This window comes from Homo sapiens, chromosome 8 (genome assembly GCF_000001405.40).
Source record: "Homo sapiens chromosome 8, GRCh38.p14 Primary Assembly".
In the NCBI taxonomy this organism is placed as follows: Eukaryota; Metazoa; Chordata; class Mammalia; order Primates; family Hominidae; genus Homo; species Homo sapiens.
Genome location: NC_000008.11, coordinates 103,979,980 through 103,998,341, shown reverse-complemented (window position 1 = coordinate 103,998,341; position 18,362 = coordinate 103,979,980). Strand labels below are relative to the sequence as shown.

Below are 18,362 nucleotides of genomic sequence, written 5' to 3'. Positions count from 1 at the left end.
ACATAAAAACAGAAATAAAAGTGAACTATATCATATCAATACACAGGCACAAGCAATTCCACAAACAGACTCAATTGTAAGAAAAATATACCTGCCATCCCTGTGATGATGGTCAATGGTCTGACTGTATCTGGAGCGAGGTAGAGTAAGAAAATGACTGCAAGCATGGCAGAAACAAGAATATAAATAAGACTCAAGAAAGAAGTGAAAAAAAAGTATAGTTTAATTTAAAAAGTGAGATTTTAAAAGATAGGCAGACAGTAAGCAAAGCACATGGAAACTGTTATTGGAAAGCTTGCCCCCTCCTCCCAATGTTCACTGTAATATGACAGTGCCAAAGGTTAAAATATTCTAAATATTTTAAAATAAAATGCAACAACAATATAACATCAGTTATTACTCAAACATCTTTAGCACCACCTAGAATGTTATATGATAGAGATGCTTTACCATTTTTTATGAGGAAAGATGAGATGAGAAAAATAAAATAAGCAGAAAGTTTAAGAAGGAAATAATAAATGAGGTAATTTCAAATACTTATAAAAGTTGGGAAATTTAAAAGGTAACTATTTCTCTTTTAATTATTAATAATTAAAAATAACTACAAAGGGCCTTAACAATTCCATTTAATAAAGAGTAAACTGATCCAAATTACTTTGATTATTAATTGTATTTATTAAATTTATTGGGTGCTATTCATTTTTCCATTCACTATGTTTATTATGTATTATGTATTACATGCTATTGGCTTTGCTACCTTTCATGCCTCATAACTACCATAAGCAATCCAAGCAGCACACTGATCTTTTACCCATCTCTTCTTTCCACAGCACTAATTTAAAATTTCCTACTTTCTTAGAACCTTTAATACTAAAACAATTAATCTTAGCAGATTATCATTATGTTTCCATAAACAATGGAAATGAACCTTGAACTCTCTCAAATTCCACAATTCTATCTCTAAATATAAAGTAAACATACATTTAAATCTTCACTTGTTCTTGTCTTCTGCACCAAAAGAGATGCCTCTACTTGTAATCCTGCTTCCCATATGACCTTGCTTCATTTATTATTCCCTTCCTCAACTGCACTTAATCCTAAAAATAAAACCCTTGCTAATCTTTCCTTCCTCTCAAGCCACTGTATCTCGCTCATTTTCTTTTCAACATAGAACATCTTAAAATACATATCTACAATTCTTGCCACCTCTGCTAGAGTTTGCTTTCATGCTTTAAGCTTACTGTAATTTGACTTCTGCTTCTACCACACTCTCGAAGCTGTCTTATGAATGTGCAATTCCCCCAAAATTCTTTCGTCTCCTCTTAATCCTCATCATACTCCACTTACGTTTGGTATTAGACATTGATTTTCAAACCTCTATTTTTTAATACTCTCTCCTTTTTTGGTTTCTGAAACCTCTCTAGCTATTAAAAATAGTCTTTATTTAACTTATAGTTCAGTTCATATACACTGAACTATATGCCGAGTACTCCATTAAAAGCTTTGCCTACATTATCTCATTTACTTCTCAAAACAACTCTTTGAGGTAGGTTCTACTATTCCCACTTTTGCACAGACAGATAAACTGAGGATATGAGTGCTTGTTCAGAGCTATATAGTAAGTGGCAGGACTGGGTTTCAAACTCAGGGCTTTCTTAATTCAAAACTCAGGCTCTTAACACATTTGTACATACAGCCTGGTCTCTCACCTATATGAGTGGTTCTTCATGCATTTAATGTACTGGATTTCCTTTCTCTGTAGAGAGGCAGTGATTTTCCCAAGATTCATTTCCTGATCTTATATTCCAACACATTCTTTCTAAATAATGCAATTGTTTTTATGGTGTAAACAATAACTCTGCTTTATTACTGATTATTCTTTGGGTTGCACAACACTTTTCCATCTGCTTCTGGGCTCTCCACATAATGCTTGAGTGACATGTAGACACTTCAGGAAAACATATGTTCATTGTGAGACTAGAACAATACCCTTTGCCTATTTACGAGGAGGTTCAAGCAGTGGTTTTCAAACTCTATTTTTTTTTTAGCACATCACTTTTTTTCCAAACAAAATTTGATATAGAATCAATATACAGTAATCAAATAATATCAGGATGATGCTGGCTAAAGAGAGTAAGAAGCCTAGATCTCTATCCATTTGGCCTCATTTTTACCTGTCATAGCAGTCTCTCAGGTACCTCTACAAAACACAGGAGTCCATCATCTCTAAAGTCCCTTCTAATTTCTAACGTAATTCTTTAATCCCCCTTTAGAACTTAATATAATACTTCAGCTATTCCTTTTTTTGTAATCTCTTGCAATTCCAGCTTCAAGTAAGGATTAAAATATTTATTTAATAAACCAAGTTTTACAGTCTCAAAATTTAACTCCTCCATTTCCTCATTTTTCACATTCAATGGATTTACAAGCCTTGCTTATTCTGATGCCTAAATAACTCAGATTTCTCTCCTTTACCTTTTCTCCTGCCACCACCTTAAATCAGGTTTACTATGTCTATTGAAACAACCTTCTCTTAGGACTTCCTACCTTCAGACCCCAGTCTTCCCCTGACTAAATACAATCTTCATCTTGTCTACAGAAGTTTATTTGCATATTATGCTTTCTGATCACATAGGTACCTTACTAAAAATCCTTCACTGGTTCCTGATATCAAAAAACAAGTATAAATTCCCTAAAAGTTCTAAACTACTTTCAATCTTCATCTTCTATCACTTTCCATTCCCCATACCACTACCTCTTATCTAGGTACAACAGACTACCTAAGATTCTCTAAATTATCATGTGTTTTCCTGACTCCAAGAATTTGTTCATGTTCATCATTCTGTCAAGAATGCCCACCATTCTCCCTCTGTCTCCACTGCTTCACTTTTCACAATCTTATTCAATCTTTAAAGCCCAACTTCTCTGTGATGCCTTTTCCAGTTCACCCAATCAAGTAATTTTCTCTCCAATCTGTTCCAGTATTGTTATCCTTCTGCCACACAGTCTTCAACATTTTAAAATTAGTTGATATAGGATAATTTGTCTGGCTAGACCAGGATAATGTCTGTTTTAAATCTTTGTGCACAATGGCTGACCCACTCAAATATATTTTGGATTGCACTAAAAAGTAAAATCAAAATTATACTGTTTTCACGATGAGCCTTCTCTCAAAAAAGAGCAGTGGTTCATATAATTATAGAACATTCTAGAAACATAAACAGAAGATTATGAGCCTATGTAAGGAAATATTTAAAAAAGTATACATAGCTTTATGAAGAAGAGAAATAATACCCAACAGTTGTGATGTTGGGCTTTACTGCTTTAAAAGGAATAGGTTTTCTCCAAAATTACTTAAGAATAACAGAAAATATGTAAATTTCAAAGCTTGCTAAAATTTATAAATTTATAAAATATATATATAAAATCATCCAATTTCTAATAGTTTCCTTGAAGAGTCTTATAATTAACTTTGTCCCTATAAAGCCAAAGCAGCCATTAAGCAAGAATCACCTTTATCAAGCATCAATTTATTTTATTTCTCTTTTCTGTCTCTAGTCATGTTAGTTCTTAACCTTATCTGGTCATGACCCTCCTTGAGATTCTGTTGAAAACTATAAAAACTCATGCATGAACATTATACAAAATTTACCATTGTGTTTTAGTAAGCCCTCTAAAATCTACCTAAGGTCCACAGCCATACTCAAGGTCCTTTGCTGCATCCACTTGGTACAACCTTAAAACATATTACACTTCTCCACTGAACCATGCTTACTTTTCTTCCAAAATTAATGGACATTATTAAATTTGAGCAATAAGTATGCATAGTGTCTTAAATATGCATAATGACTAAACAAATAAAGTAAGTTATATTAAAACTGCAGTTAGTCCAATCTGAGCAGTAAATCACTGTAAAAGAAAAAAATAGAAAAACAATACATTTACTAAATTTTAAAAAGCAAAAACAAAATAAAGAAGTCATAGATTCTAAGGCTCATGATAAAAAATTACTATTCAAAGTATTAAACTAGATTACTAATCCAATTTCTAGACACTTTGATTCTTAAGCAATATAACCTTTAAAGACAACACAAAATTATATTTATAATGAATTGTCCTTCCACTATATGAAATTAGCCGAATGTCCCCTTTAGGAATCACTTTAGTCCATACAAAAAAGAACTGCAAAAATGGGAGATAAAGTATTCCATTCTTAAGTAAAACTATAGCTTCCAAAAACCCTTACTTAATGCAAAAACATTTTTTTTATTCTTTTTTTTTTTTTTTTTTTGAGACAGGGTCTTGCTCTGTCACCCTGGCTGGACTGCAGTGGTGCGATCTCAGCTCACTGCAGCCTTGACTTCCCTAGGCTCATGCAATCCTCCCACCTCAGCCTCCTGAGTAGCTGGAATAAAAAAAAGGTGCACACCACCACACCTGGGCTAATTTTATTTATTTTTTATTTTTTGTGTGTGTTTGTGGAGATAGGGTCTCACTATATGGCCTAGACTGGTTGAGAACTCCTGGGCTCAAGTGATGTGCCTGCTTAAACCTCCCAAAGTTCTGGCATTACAGGCATGAGCCACTGTGCCTGGCATGTGTCTTTAATATTGTTAATGCTTTCCTTATGTTGTAGTCCCTACATTCTACTCAGTATGATTTAACTGTCTTAAAATGTTTCCGAAATACAGCAAATAAAATAAGTAAAATAAAACGTTATATTATTTTTGTAAAGTGAATTTTCTTTTTTCATTTACTTCATAATTTTAAACTATCAGAGATATGTTTCCTTCATAGTTGATAACTGAAAGGAAAAAAGAGACTATTCTTTTTGGTGAAATAGTTATGAGTACGAGTTACACTTTCTGGTAGCTGACTTCCTGACAAGGAATAGATAAATAGCATGAGTGTGTAAGGTATGCCAGTGGTCCATATAATAGGGCATTTTCCTTTTTAGAATATATATCTATTAACTGAATGTATAGGAGAAAAAAAGCTTATAAAGTAATTTATCTTTTGCCAACATTAATTGTATTCTTATGATGCTAAAAGTACACTCCATGGAAATAAATGCATCTAATGTATTTTGGCCTCCAGGATAGACATAAAAATGCATACTGTGGAGTACTTCTGACATGTTACAGAAATATTATCTAATACTCTATACTTATTCTAATAGTAAACTAACTCAAGTAAACAAAAAGCTCTTAAAATATATATATATTTTTTTGAGACAGTCTTACTCTGTCACCCAGGCTGGAGTGCAGTGGCGCGATCTCGCCTCACTGCAACCTCTGCCACTCGGGTTCAAGCGATTCTCCTGCCTCAGCCTCCTGAGTAGCTGGGATTATAGGCATCTGCCACCGTGCCTGGCTAATTTTTGTATTGATTTCTAATACTAAGGCCACATAGTCTGCCTCAGGAAAAATTATGTTCCTAGTTGTAGTAGTTACCAGGACTTATCAGAAAAACAATGGTATAAAAAGCGGTGGAATGGAAGTAGGAGATGAAAGATATGCTTAATAATTCCTTGTTTTAGCTGAGTCCTTGCATCCAGGTTACTAAATTACTTGTGAAGAATCTATCTACTTTGCAAAGCAGAATAGGATTTTGACTAATGATAACACAGTGAGATAGGCAGAGAAACAAAGACCTAATAAAAATTTAAAGTGTAAATTATTTTTACATTACCTATAGAAAGGATATAAATACTATATCTTCTCCTTACACCACCCAAGTTTAACCAAGTACTATTAATGAATATCAAATAGCATCTTTTCTCACTCATTATAGTCTATCCTTGCTCTTGGTCTTGCCTGAATAAACATGCCCATTTTTCAAGGTCCAATTCATGCCCTACATTCATTCTACACAAAACTTAAAAAACAAACAAACAAACAAACAAAAAACTACATGGGCCAGGCGCGGTGGCTCATGCCTGTAATCCCAGCACTTTGGGATACCCAGGCAGGTGGATCACCTGAAGTCAGGAGTTCAAGACCAGGCTGGCCAACATGGCGAAACCCCGTTTCCACTAAAAATACAAAAAAAAAAAAAAAAAAAAAAATAGCTGGACATGGTGGCACATGCCTGTAATCCCAGCTATTTTGGAGGCTGAGGCAGGAGAATCGCTTGAACCTGGGAGGCAGAGGTTGCAGTGAGCTGAGAAAACGCCATTGAACTCCAGCCTGGGTGACCCAGTGAGACACTGTCTCAAAAAACAAACAAACAAAACAACAACAACACTAAGTGAACTGGCTGATTTCTCTATCTCTCTTTTTTTCTTGTTTACTAAGCACATTAAATGTAAATTATTTGCAAGTGAATATATCCTTTTAAAATGGTAAGGTTAAAGCACGTATTTTCAATACCTACTATACAATTGGAGGCAGTGTCATTTAATCTACACAACTCAATAAAGTTGATACGAGTCATTTAATCTACACAACTCAGTAAAGTTGATACTGATATTCTAATTTTACAGATAAGAAAATCAAGTGTCAAAGAGGTTAATTTTCCCAAAGACACAGGTAGCAAGAGGTTAAATCCTGCATTCAAAATCAAGGCCATTTGGTTTCAAATCCTATAAAAAAGATTCAATAAAATATATACATTCAATAAAATACTATTCTAGTCCAGTGCATCAATTCTTACTGACAAGAAAGGTTAGTTATTGTACCTCTCAAAAGACCTAAATTACTATTATTATCTCAAAGGAAATTCTCTCTTAGGCTTTTTAATCAACATTATTATTGATTAAAATGCTATTCATGAAAATTCACTGTAAGAGTTCTAGAGTATTCTTATCTTCTAAAAATCATAATGCAGACATATGCATTTTATTACCAAAACTCTTAGAATATTAAGATAAAACAGAGATTAAGAATTTGTTGCTTAATGTGACAGACCACATATATAATATTGAACTTTTAAATTTTTTATTCCTCATGTTAATAAATAATTACACAGATAAATAATATTAGAAATGGTTTTATATTTCTATTTAAATAAAATTCTATTTTATTTATTTGAAAAAAGGATTTAAGGCAGCTCACAATTAAGAGGAATTGTGATCTGGCATTGACAGTGCTCTAAAAGAGAAATAAAAACCACATGGATCAATTTTCTTGAAAACTTCAGAAAATAATTATATGAACATTTTTGCTAAACTAAAAGATTTATAAATTTTTTAAATAAAAAATAAAAATATAATGATGTTTCAGTTGCAGACATAAATTGGGACAGACCATAAAAATGCACATTGTAGGATATCTCTGACATGATAATTACCTAATATGACCATATTAACTAATACCAAGGATTAATCATCTAGGCTTTAATAGGAAGCTTTGCTGCCATTAAACCTAGGGTCATTTGCCTTTAAATATTTATAAAGTATTATGCATTTGACATGATAGCAATCATTTTTATTTATAATTCTAGATGTTAATTTTATTTTTCTTCAAGATTTAGACAGCATTTATTTGTCTTAAAGAAAACAAAGTCCATTTTTTCATTAAAATAAAACTTTACATAAAATTGAACAAAGTTTAAATTCATTTCAGAATTTTCTCTCTCATCATTTCCATTAACAAACCTTCAAGGAACAAGGATTTTATGACTTGGTATATAAATAATTTCCAGAAACAATCAAGCTCATTAAAATGCTATATTAGGCAACTAAAATACCTCTTCATTCATCCTAATATGACTCCTTTCAACTCCTAATCATGCCAACATAGTTACCCTTCTTTCTATTACAGTATTGTACTTGATAAGCATCAACTTCTACATGTAGCATGTCTATAATTACCCCTAAAGACACAGATTACTATGAAAAAGTTAAGCAAATTAAAAGAAAATAAAATACTACATTAGCTTTCATTTATCACTAAAAGCAGTATTAATTTAATAACTTCTTACATATAATTTCTTCTTAGATCTCAGGCACAAAAGCCAATACTTGTTAGACACTATTGAAGACTATGATATCCCCTCTTTAGTTCTGGAGAAGTATACTAAATCACAGTGAAATTAAGCATGAATTAAGTATAATCTTAATTTAGACAAAAAAATTAAGTGTTTAAATGTAAACAGTAATTTCTCATATCAGCTTATTTAAAAGCCCTCAAATGTTCTTCCTAAAATCGGTTTAGGATGCATACAAAGGGACTTCTGAGTTCCTTCGTTATTTTATCATATCTTTGAATAGTTTGGGAAACATAATGGCATTTACTTCATGTATAACCAAAGCATGAATTAGAGAGTTTATCGATTTGCTTAAGTTAAAAATATTAATAGCAGCTAATGTAAGCATTGTAACATACCATGTTACTTCCAAGTTTGTGACATTTAATGGAGCAAATTCAGAGAGCTCTTCCAAATACAGCAAACAATCTTTAAGATGCTTAAAAGGTTTACTGAAAGCCATGAGGAAAAACCTCTTCATGAATCATAAAATGTTTCCTAAACAAATCAGACTCCGTCTCAATACTTCCATATGTGAAAAGTCACACCAATTTCTCTGATGAATGTAAAAGACTTTAAAATCTTTTGTCTCATGAAAGTATTTATATATATAATTGTTTATGACAAGAAAAATAATAAAACATCTTGGTTTCACTATAATTAACATTATAATCACTTATACAGATTCACTAACTTAACTGGTTTGATTAAACCAAAAACAAAATGGCAGGAGAAAGATAATTTTGTTTTTTTCTTACCAGAGAAAAGGTTGTTTGTATTTATTTACCTTTAACAATGTGGCAGTCATAAGAAATAATGTAAGCGTTGTAAGAGAAAAACATTGTTTCAGAAACTAAGAAAAAGGAATATGTGAAAATATTTTATGGTAACCCCTTCCTGAAAGCAGTGATTATATTAATAATAAGGTCTAATAGTATTTAATCATATTTACCTGTCTCTATCTGGAGAATAATGGTCATCCATGACACGATGTCTGTCCATTCGGCTAATTGTATTATAATGTCCGGTCATAGTGCGGGTCCCTCGAAGCCCCTGTTCCACATTCCGACTAAAACAACAAGATCTATTCAATATCTTAGTAAACCATTTGAAACACTAAGAAACGAGGTTTATTTTAAAGCACAGTAGAAAAAGACAAAGTCACTATATGGTGAAGTCCAAATTTTGTTTTAATTAATTGCATCTCTAACTAAAGGTATAAGTTTCAGTGGAAGGTTGACAGTTAAGTAAGATTACTGCTACAAGAGATGCAGCACAAGGAGCTCAAATTAAACTAATAACAGTGGGGATATGATAAGGACTATCATATATCCTTATATATAACCATCATATGGATGACTACCAGGTCTCTAGTACTGATACTCAATAATATACTCAAGAGGAGAAGATTTGTATGGAGAAAATATGTTCAGTGTTAGACACATTTGCATACATGACCTATAGGATTGCAGATAGAGATGCCTCATAGGTGGTTGGACATGAGTTCGGAGCTTAGGGGAACAAGTCAAAATTTGCACACTTTGCGCCATCTCCCTTGATACCACTCCAGTCCAAACTACCATCTTTGTGAATATACCATAAAATAGCTACCTAGGCTGGGTGTGGTGGCTCATGCTTGTAATTCCAGCACTTTGGGAGGCTGAGGTGGGCAGATCACGTGAGGTCGGGAGTTCGAGACCAGCCTGACCAACATGGAGAAACCCTGTCTCTACTAAAAAATAAAAAATCAGCAAGGTGTGGTGGTGCATGCCTGCAATCCCAGCTACTCGGGTGGCCAAGGCAGAAGAATCGCTTGAACCCGGGAGGTGGAGGCTGCAGTGAGCAGAGATCCCACCATTGCACTTTAGCCTGGGCAACAAGAGCGAAACTCCATCTCAAAAAATAAAAAAGCTACCTAAGTAATCTCTGGCTTCAATTCTTACCTCATCCATGATGACACGCAACAGCCCTTTAAAACACAATTAAGACATGGCATGTCATATTGTAGGATGAAAGATAGGAGTCCAGTTTTTAATTTATTCCATTGGTGAGCTAATTTTCCTACCCTGTCTGACCCACCCTTTGCATATTAATTGTGGTGCCACTTTATCATCATATGTCAAGTTCACATACAAATATCGCTGTAAATGTATATATATTATTATTTTACTGTCGATTCCCTTCAATATGTCTATTTTGCTGCTGTTATTCAAGTTCCATCCTAGTTTTAATTATTTTTGCCTGCTGGCAAATTTTTCTCTTCTTTTTTCAAAATGGATTTATTGGTATGTCTTTATCCTTCCACATAATGCCTAGAACAAGTTTGTAAAATTGCACACAAACTTTTGATTGTTATGGCATTAGATTTATAAATTAATTTATGGAAAATTGATATCTTTATTATAGGAAGTAATTTGACCCATGCATAGGGCATATCTCTCATTAATTCCTTACCCAAAGTTTTACCTCTTACTTGAAAAGATCCTGTGAATTCTTAGTACATGAATTGTTGGATACTTTGGGTTACTTTTGAGAACAGTACTTACATTTTACTATATTTTCCAATTAGTAATTACTCATAAGTTGATCTATGGACAGCTACTTGACAGAACTCCTATATTAGTTTTAATATTTTGGTTATGTTGGGTTTCCTGTGGAGATAATCCTGTCATTAACAAATAATGATGGTTTTCATCTCTTCTCTTTCAATCCTGAAACCTCTTATTTCCTTTTCTCAACATTTTTCAGGACCTGAAGTACTATTTTAAACAGTGACAATATTAATGAACATCCATCTCTTATTTCTGCTATTAATGTAAATTTCTCTAAAGTTTTTCCATTAAGTATAATGCTTGCTTTATTAAGCCTTTATGAAGTGTAGGTGGTTCTCTTCTAGTTTAGTATCTTATGTGAATATAAGTTGAACAATAAAATTCTTTTTCTGCCTCTGATAAGATTTATTTCCCCATTAGTCCATTAATATGATGAATTACCATAACAATTTTTCTGGTGTCTCACCGACATGATTTAAATTCATGGTAAGGTTTACTTAAAGTAAGATTTTTTACATACGTTTGTAACTAAAATGGGCTTCTTAAGCTGGGCACAGAGGCACATAGTCCCGGTATCTGAGCCTAGAGGATTGCTTGAGCCCAGGAGTTCGAGTCTAGCCTGGGCAACATAGTGAGACTTTGTCCTTGAAAAAAAAAATGAAAAAGGAATACATATATATTTTATTATACTCTAAGAATTAGAACTAAGGTTATGTTAGTTCCAGAAAAAGAATTAGGCAACTTTCCTTTTTTATCTGGTTTTAGAGCCAGTTGTATAGAACAGATATTAGTTCTCAAAAACTTGGTTAAAACTTACCCATAGTACTTTTTAGTCTGGAATTCTCTTTATGGGTGGATGGCGGGAAGAGAGTAGTTTGTCTTTGAGTACCATTTCAACCTATTTGCTGGTTGTTTTTTTTTTAATTTTATTTTACTGTTTTTTTTTTTGAGACGGAGTTTCACTCTTCTTGCCCAGGTTGGAGTGCAATGGCAGGATCTCGGCTCACTGCAACCTCCACCTCCCAGGTACAAGCGATTCTCCTGCATCAGCCTCTTGGGTAGCTGGGATTAGAGGTGCCTTTCACCACGCCTGGTTAATTGTTTTGTATTTTTAGTAGAGATGGGGTTTCACCAGGTTGGCCAGGCTGGTCATGAACACTAGTTGTTATTTTAACTTTCATTTCTTCTTGTGTCAATTTTAATATTTTATATCAATTTCAGAAATTTAACCATTTCACCTAGATTAACAAATTTAATAACATAATTTCATAATGGTTGCTATTTTTAAAGTCTTTTTCTTATCTGTAGTTGTTTCCCTTTTTCAATGTTTTATTTATTTATACCTCTCATTTTCCATGTACAATCCTTTTATTGTATTGATGTCACCAATCTTTTCAAATAACTAACTTGTGGGTTAACATACATTCTTATCTTTCACTTCTTTTTCTTACTGTCTGTGCCTCATTTTGTTTCAGTTTCACTGATTTTTCCCTAATCTTTATTAATTCCATCCTTCACATTTTTTCAGGACTTTCTCCATTGTTCTGTACTGTTTCCTAAATTCAGTGTTTATTTAGCTCTCTATTTTCGTTAAAAATTTTTTTGTCAAGTAAACATTGCACATATTTATGGTATACATGATGTTTTGATAAGTGTATACATTGCAGCATGGCTAAATCAAGCTATTTAACATTTGTACTACCTCAAATATTTATTCTTTTGTGTGAGAACACTTTAAATCTACCCTCTCAGAAATTTTCAAGTATATATTAACTATAGTTGCCATTATATACAATAGATCTCTTGAACTTATTCCTCTTGTCTAAGTGAAATTTTAGGTCTTTTGACCTATATCTCCCCAATCTTCTCACCCCACCAGGCTCTTTTCTCTGCTTCAGAAACTGCAACTTTTTAGATTCTATATATAAGTTAGATCATGTGGTATTTATTTTCTATACCTGGCTTATTTCACCTAACATAATGCCCTCTAGGTTCAACTATGTTGTCAGAAATGATAGAATTTTCTTCTTTTTAGAAGTTGAATAGTATTTCATTGTGTATATTTACATTTTTATTACCTGTACATCTGTTGATGACAGTTTCATTCCATATCAATTCTGTTGTGGCTAACGTTGCAATGATCATGGGAGTGCAGATATCTTTTTTAATTTTAATTTTTTAACTTTGTGAGTACATAGTAGGTGTATGTATTTATGGAGTACAGGAGATATATTGATAAGGGCACAAAATACTTAATAATCCCAAATCCATCCCTTCAAGCATTCATCTTTTGTGTTACACAGAATCCAATTATACTCTTTTTTTTTTTTTTTTTTTTTTTTTTTTTTGAGACAGAGTCTTGCTTTGTTGCCCAGGCTGGAGTGCAGTGGCACAATCCTGGCTCACTGCAACCTCCGCCTCCCAGATTCAAGTGATTTTCCTGACTCAGCCTTCCAAGTAGCTGGGACTACAGGCGCGCACCACCATGCTCGGCTAATTTTTGTATTTTTAGTAGAGACGGGGTTTCACCATATTGGCCAGGCTGGTCTCGAACTCCTGACCTCATTATCCATCTGCCTTGGCCTCCCAAAGTGCTGGGATTACAGGTGTAAGCCACCGTGCCTGGCCCCGATTATACTCTTTTAGTTATTTTTAAATGCACAATTAAATTATTTTGACTATAGTCACCCTGTTGTGCTATCAAATACTAGGTTCTATTTATTATTTCTATTATTTGTACCCGTTAACCATTGCCACATCCCCTTCACCCACTGCGACCCATCCCAGCCTCTGGTAATCATCCTACTAGTCTCCATCTCCATATGTTAAATTGTTTTGATTTTTATATCCCACAAATAAGTGACAACATGCAATGTTTGTGTTTCTGTGCCTGGCTTATTTCACTTGATATAACGACCTCCAGTTCCATCCATGTTGTTACAAGTGACAGGATCTCATTTCTTTCTGGCTGAATAGTACTCCACCATGCATAAATACATTTTCTGTATCCATTATGGACATGTAGGTTGCTTCCAAATCTTGGCTATTGTGAACAGTACTGCAACAAATATGACAGGGCAAATATGCCTTTGATATACCGATTTCCCTTCTTTTGGGTATATACCCACCAGTGGGATAGTGGATCATATGGTAGCTCTATTTTTAGTTTTTTGAGGAACCTCCAAACTGTTCTCCATAGAGGGTGTACTAATTTACATTCCAACCAATAGTGTACAAGGGTTCCCTTTTCTCCACATATTTACCAGCATTTGTTATTGTTTTAGGATATAAGCCATTTTGACTGGAGTGAGATAACATGTCATTGTAGTTTTGATTTGCATTTCTCTGATGATCAATGATGTTGAGAATCTTCTGATATGCCCGGTTGCTATTTGTATGTCTTCTTTTGAGAAATCTCTATTAAAATCTTTTACCTATTTTTTAACTGGCTTATTGGATTTTTTTCCTATACAGTTGTTTGAGTTCCTAATACATTCTGGCTATTAATCCCTTCTGAGATGGATAGTTTCTTTGCAAATATTTCCTCCCATTCTGTGGGTTGTATCTTCATTATTTCCTTTGCTGTGCAGAAGCTTTTTAACTTGATATGATCCCTTTTGTCTACTTTTTTTTTTCCTTTTTTGTTCTGAGATGGAGTCTCGCTCTGTCGCCCAGGCTGGAGTGCAGTGGCGCGATCTCGGCTCACTGCAAGCTCCGCCTCCCAGGTTCACGCCATTCTCCTGCCTCAGCCTTCCGAGTAGCTGGGACTACAGGTGCCCGCCACCACGCCTGCTATTTTTTTTTGTATTTTTAGTAGAGACGGGGTTTCACCGTGTTAGCCAGGATGGTCTCGATCTCCTGACCTCGTGATCCGCCCGCCTTGGCCTCCCAAAGTGCTGGGATTACAGGCGCGAGCCACTGTGCCCTTTTGTCTACTTTTGCTTTGTTTGCCTGTGTGTGGGGTATTACTCAAGAAATTGTTGCCAAGATGAATGTCTCAGGGGGTTTCTTGAATGTTTTCTTGTAATAGTTTCATAGATTTAGGTATTAGATTTAGGTCTTTAATCCGTTTTAATTTGATTTTTGTATATGGCAAGAGATAGGGGTCAAGTTTCATTATTATTCATATAGATATCCAGTGTTCCCAGCACGATTTATTGAAGAGACCTTCCTTTCTCCAATGTATACTCTTGGCACCTTTGTCAAAAATGAGTTCACTGTAGGTGTATGGATTTGTTTCTGGGTTCTCTATTGTGTTCCATTGGTCTACGTGTCTGTTTTTATGGCAGTACCATGCTTTTTCAGTTACTATAGCGCTGTAGTATAATTTGAAGAAAGGCAATGTGATTCCTTCAGTTTTGTTCTTTTTGCTCAGGATAGCTTTGGCTATTCTGTGTCTTTTGTGGCTCCACATGAATTTTAGAATTATTTCTTCAATTTCTGTGATGAATGTCATTGGTATTCTGATAGGGATTGCACTGAATCTGTAGAATTCTTTGGGTAGTATAGAAAGTTTAACATCATTGATTATACCAATCCATGAACATGGAACATCTTTCTATTTTTGTGTGTGCCATCTTCAATTTCTTGCGCCAATGTTTTATAGTTTTCATTGTAGAGATCTTTCATTTCTTTGGTTAAGTCAATTTCTAGGTATTTAATTTTATTTGTGATTGTTATAAGTGGAATTACTTTCTTGATTTCTTTTTCAGATTGTTCACTGTTGCCATATAGAAATGCTACTGATTTTTTATGTTGATCATGTATCCTGAAACTTTACTGAATTTATCAGTTCTAATAGTTTTTGGTGGAGCCTTTAGGTTTTTCCAAATATAAGATCATGTCATCTGCAAGCAAGGATAACTTGACTTCTAACTTTCCAATTTAGATGCCCTTTATTTATTTCTCTTGGCTGATTGCACTAGTTAGGACTTCCAGTACTATGCTGAATAAGAGTGGTGAAACTGGGCGTCCTTGCCATGTTCCAGATCTTAGAGGAAAGGCTTTCAGTTTTTCTGCATTCAGTATGATACTAGCTGTGAGTCTGTTGTATATGGCTTTCATCATGTTGAGGTATGTTCCTTGCATCCCCAGTTTTTTGAGGGTTTTTATCTTGAAGGGATATTGAATTTTATCAAATGCTTTTTCAGAAACAATTAAAATAATCATATGGTTTTAGTACTTCATTCTGATGATATGATATATCACATTAATTGGTTTGTATATGTTGAATCATCCTTGCATCCCAGGGATAAATTTTACTTGGTCTTGATGAACGACCTTTTTAATGTATTGTTGAATTTGGTTTGCTAGTATTTTTTTTTTTTTTTGGATTTCTGCATCAATATTCATTAGAGATATTGGTCTGTAGTTTTTTTTTTTTATGTGTCTTTGTCTGCTTTTGGTATCAAAGTAATAACGGCCTTGTAGAACGAGTTTGGAAGTATTCTCTCCTTCTTTATTTTTTGAAATAGTTTGAGTAGAGTTGGTATTGGTTCTTCTTTAAATGTTTGTTAGAATTTAGCATTGAAGCCATTGGGTTCAGGCTTTTCTTTACTGGGAGACTGTTCATTATGGCTTTGATCTTGTTATTTGTTATTGATCTGTTAAGCTATTGGGTTTCTTTGTGGCCCAATCTAGTAAGTGTCTAGGAGTTTATGCATTTCCTCTATATTTTCCAATTTATTGGCATATAGTTGCTCACAGCAGCCACTAATTATCCTTTGAATTTCTGTGGTATCAATTGTAATGTGTCCTTATTCATCCCTGATTTTGTTTATTTGGGTCTTCTCTCTTTTTTCCTCTGTTAGTCTGGCTGAAAGTTTGTCAACTTTGCTTATCTTTAAAAAAACAAACCTGTTTCATTGATCTTTTGTATTGTTTTCTATCTATCTTAAAGCCAATAACTCTTAGATTTGCTCTTTTGAGTCTGTTTTTTAGATCTTGTAGGTGTGCTTCACTGTTTTTTATTTGTTTTTCTTTTGTTTGCTCTTTGCATTTTCAAATGGCCTCTTGAAGGTCACTAATTCTTCTGCTTGATCTATTCTGCTCTGAAGGGACATTGATGCGTTCTTTAGTATTTCAACTGCATATTTCAACACTAGAATATCCACTTGATTATTTTTAATTATTTCAATCTCGTTGTTAAATTTATCAAAAAATTTGGAATTCCTTCTCTGTGTTATATAGAATTTCATTGAGTTCCCTCAAAATAGCAGTTTTGAATTTTCTATCTGAAAGGTCACATCTGTTTCTCAAGTATTGGTCCCTGGTGCCTTATTTAGTTCATTTGGTGAAGTCTTGTTTTCCTGGATGATCCTAATGCTTATAGACGGTCTTTGGTGTCTTGGCATTGAAGAGTTAGGTATTTATTGCAGTCTTGGCTTGTTGTGCCCATCCTTCTTGGGAAGGTTTTCCAGGTATTCAAAGTGACTTGGCCCCAAGCCCAATAATGCTGTGTTTTTTGCAGACTCATAGAGGTACCACCTTGGTGGTCTTTGATAAGATCCAGAATAATTCTCTGGATCACCAGAGACTCTTATTCTTTTCCCTTACTTTCTCCCAGACAAATGGAGTCTCTTTCTCTCTCTCTGCTGAGCTGCCTGGAACTGGGGTTGTGGTGATGCAAGCACCCCTGTGGCTACCACCGCTGGTTCTGCACAGGGTCAGACCTGAAGCCAGAACAGCATTGGGTCTTGCCCAAGGCCGACTGTAACCACTACTTGGCTACTATCACCTATGTTCACTCAAGGTCCTAGGACTCTACAATCAGTAGGTGGCAAAGCCAGCCAGGTTTGGGTACTTCTCTTCGGGGTGGTAAGTTCCCCTAGGCCCTGATCAGATCCACAGATGCTATCTGGGAGCTAGGGATTGGGGTCAAACACCTTAGAAATTTGCCTGATGTTCTATTCTACTGTGGCTAAGGTGGCACTCAAACCACAATATAAAGTCCTTCCTGCTCTTCCCTCCCCTTACCACAGGCAGAAGAGCCTCTCCCTGTGGGATCTACCACCACTGGACCACAAGGGGGTTCCGTCAGGCCACTGCAATGTTCACTGAAAGCCCAAGGTTTCCTCTGTCAGTTTGTGGTAAATGCTGCCAGGCCTGTGACTCACCCTTCAGGGCAATAGGCTCCCCTCTGGGCCAGGGCAGGTACTGAAATGCTGAGCTTGTACTAAGCTTGTACTCAGGGACTCCATGAGCCTGCTTTTTGCTCTAACCCACTGTGGCTGAGCTGACATCTAAGGTGCAAGACAAAGTCACCTTAGTTTTCTCTCTGTTTTTCTCAAACAGAAGCAGTCTTTCATCACAGCCACCACTGGTGGGAATGTGCTGAGTCACCTGTGAAGCCTGCACATCTCAGAGCCCAATGCCCACAGCATAGTTCCTGGGTATCATTGCTGGTTATTCAGCGCCCAGGGGGTCTTTATTCAGCAGGTGATTAATCCTGCAGGACTGGGTCCTTCCCTTCAAGGCAGCAACTTCCTTTTAGCCCATGTTTGTCTAGAAATGTGCCAGAGCTAGGGCCTAGAACGGGGGCTTCTTGACTCTGCCTCGTTCTCTCTCCTACTGTGGCTGAGCTGGTATGCAAGATGCAAGACAAAGCCCTCTTTACTCTTTGCTCTCCTCCCCTTAAAGAGAAGGAAAGAGACACTTTAATTGCTGTGAGTTGCACTGCCTGGGGTTGGAGGAGGAGTGGTACTAGCACTCCTTTAGCCATGCCAGCTGGTATCTCCTTAGGTCATGTGCCATCCTAGTCCTCTGGCTCTGAGCCCAGCCTGGCACTAGGTGTTGCCTAGGAGTTGTAGTCCTTGTGTCCTTTCCAGTTTACCTAGGACTCCA

The 18,362-nt window shown here is 35.2% G+C and overlaps 1 protein-coding gene across 64 annotated transcripts in view; it reads right to left on the bottom strand.

The window, feature by feature from the left end:
• Positions 1 to 18,362, bottom strand: part of RIMS2 (regulating synaptic membrane exocytosis 2) — a 755,485-nt gene that overhangs the window by 257,753 nt on the left and 479,370 nt on the right. For 51 of the 64 annotated variants that reach the window (NR_145710.2, NR_145711.2, XM_017014015.3 and 48 more), the window contains one exon: positions 8,921 to 9,037. Coding sequence is in view for 62 of the 64 variants with exons in the window: in XM_017014015.3 (XP_016869504.1) it covers positions 8,921 to 9,037 (117 nt within the window). In the remaining 2 variants the exon portion in view is untranslated. Of the gene's footprint in view, positions 1 to 91; positions 158 to 8,920; positions 9,038 to 18,362 lie in introns of all 64 variants that reach the window. The other 13 variants (NM_001395652.1, NM_001348487.2, NM_001348486.2 and 10 more) reach the window with 1 other exon arrangement.